The sequence below is a fragment of the Homo sapiens genome, chromosome 2 (genome assembly GCF_000001405.40).
Source record: "Homo sapiens chromosome 2, GRCh38.p14 Primary Assembly".
Taxonomy (NCBI): Eukaryota; Metazoa; Chordata; class Mammalia; order Primates; family Hominidae; genus Homo; species Homo sapiens.
This window is the reverse complement of record NC_000002.12, coordinates 177,059,479-177,062,090: the sequence shown is the minus strand read 5'-3', so window position 1 is coordinate 177,062,090 and position 2,612 is coordinate 177,059,479. Positions and strand designations below refer to the sequence as shown.

The 2,612-nt window shown below is 40.2% G+C and overlaps 1 annotated feature.

Annotated features, from left to right (window-relative positions):
- Positions 1-181: a silencer, noted in NCBI's record as "fragment chr2:177926638-177926818 (GRCh37/hg19 assembly coordinates)". NCBI's record gives its function as "represses an EF-1alpha promoter that drives an FKBP-Casp9 reporter gene in an ReSE screen in K562 erythroleukemia cells {active_cell/tissue: K562}" and the evidence as "EXISTENCE:reporter gene assay evidence [ECO:0000049][PMID:32094911]".

Sequence of the window (2,612 nt, the reverse complement as noted above, 5' to 3'; positions counted from 1 at the left end):
CAGGCAATGAGGGTAAGTGGGGAGGGCCACACCAGACTGAACAATAGATGCATAGTCCTGCATGGACACAGACAGGGCCTATATGGCTGGAGAGCAGTGAGTGAAGGGGAGTGAGGAAGAACAAGATGAAGCTGGAGAGTTGGCAGAGGTCAGATCATGCCACTGTCATAATTGGACAATGGCTAATAATTTATTAATATAGTTGGACTCCTCACAGACATATTCAGGCTTATAACTCTTCACTCACTTTGCATAGCTCTAACAGAGCACTGGGTGATTCTTACTTTCAAATCTGTATGGTGGAGAATGGGAATAATTATTATGTACCTTCATGATCTATGATATGAATTAAATTCACTAAAAATCACTCAGTTCTTTAACTTACTTGGCTCATGTAACTATAGCCTGATTTCTGTATCGTTGGCTTCTATATTTTTGCTCCTGGGCTTGCTGTCCGGTGGAACTGCCTGAGGATTGCCCAGTCTCAATGGAATTGAATTGGGTCCTCAGCACTTAAGCATTTTGAGCAGTAGTTTAGAGAGTAGTTATGCTAGTCATGTTTGTTATAATCAAGCTGGAGATCTTAAAATTCTTTAGTCTTGATGTCTGAGGGACAATCTGGGAATTCTCTAAGGTAATGAGGACTGAGTTCCAATAGCTCTTGAGAAGAGTCTTCATACAGTCCCAGCAGCTGAGAGACGTGCAGGGGGATAGAGAGTCCAAAATATAGGTGCTAGGGGTATGGTTTCTAATAAGCCCAATTAACTTAGACAGGAGACCTGCCTCTCAGCTCAACCTTGCCCATTGTCATGAGCTCTTTGGCACATGTAGAGTCTTTGCTCATTTCCTACCAGCCTCCCCTGGCTGTCTGGGTCTCTGGCTGGAGAGCCTGCTATGGATGACTGCCTGTGAGACTTGGACCCTGACTTCCCATGTAGAGGAGTGTTTAGGAGTTCAGGCTTTGGAACCAGACACCACTTAGCTGCTACATGAACCTGGGGCACAACATTTAACTTCTTCATGCTATGTTTTATTCATCTGTAGTATTGTAGTAATAATAATAATTGTAGTACCTAAGTGATCGCAGTGTTATGAGGAGGATTAAATGAAGTGATCCATGATGAATGTTCAGCACAACACAGATGTTCAACCTGTGACAACTATTATTTAAAATCTTTTTGTTTGATTTTTGAGACAGGGTCTCACTCTGTCACTCAGGTTCGAGTGCAGTGGCGCAATCATAGTTCACTATAACCTCGAACTCCTGGGCTCAAGGGATCCTCCTGCCTCAGCTCCAGAGTAGCTATGACCACAAGTCTGTGCTACCATACCTGGCTAGCTTTTTTTTTTTTTTTTTTTTTTTTTGGACATATGGGGGTTTCACTATGTTGCCCAGGCTGGTCTTGAACTCCTGGCCTCAAGTGATCCTCTTGCCTCAGCCTCCCATGTTGCTGGGATTACAGGCATGGCTTGGTCTAAAATCATTATTGATTATCATCATTGTCACTGGTATTTGTGGTATTTGTGGGCTGGGTCCTGATCCTCGAATGAATGCAGTACCTTACCATCTTTGCCATTGTCATGGCTAATACAATGCCACAACAAAACTATTTATTGAGCCATGTACCAGGCACCATGCTGGGGTCAGAGAACTTCAGAAAGCAAACAAACAAACAAACACAACAATAAAATAAACCCCCAAACCAAACTGAAACAAAAATACCCAAACAAAAAACCAAAACCAAAAATTCAAAAACCCAGTTTTCAGAACTCATAAGCCAGGAATAGTTGGACTTTAACATGAGCCTTCATTTCTCACAATAAGCTGTAATTTGAGAATATGATTGTGATTGTCTTAGTTTTTAAAACTATGACTGCAAAAAAACCCTTTTAAAACTTTCTTGCAAAAATATTTAATAATTTGATTTGTGCTCTTTGATAGGTATGTTAAACCACTTAATCTGTAGATTCATTAAAAGTGGCTCATATTCAGAGAGAGTGATTTTTTTTTTCTTTAGTGTGTGTGGAACCTTCTGGGATGTTTCCAGCCTAAGCACAGTTCTGAGCAAACCATGCTTTGCAAAGCCAGTTATTTGTTTTACTTCTGCCAGAATATTGAAAGTTTGCCTGGTGAACATTCCCTGAAATCAAAGTGACTTATTATCAGGCTTCCTTTGCTTTTGATCCTGCTGCAGGATGGTGTGTTTTCCTAATGATGCAGAATCTCTCGTTAAGTTCAGGAAACAGGATATAAGGATAAGTCAATTGACTCAATTTATGGACATAATAAAATGGTCCCTATTACCTTCAGCAGTCAAGGCAAGACAAGGTGAAACACAATGTTGTAAAGTTATTATGACAAAATAGTTTAGTATTTACCTGACCAAATAAAGTGAAAATACTGCATTTATTTTTGAAGCGGCATTTCAGACATTATGACCTAAAATTAATAGTGGTAGACGATCATTTATCCTGTCGCACAGGGATATTGCAGAGTTCACTCAAAGCCAGGAATATCTGCTATTAAATCATGGCAAACTAAAAAAAAATTGTTTTTGAAGTATTTCCTCGTGTCTGCTCTATGTCTACTGTTGGCCCCACGGAGCCAGTGT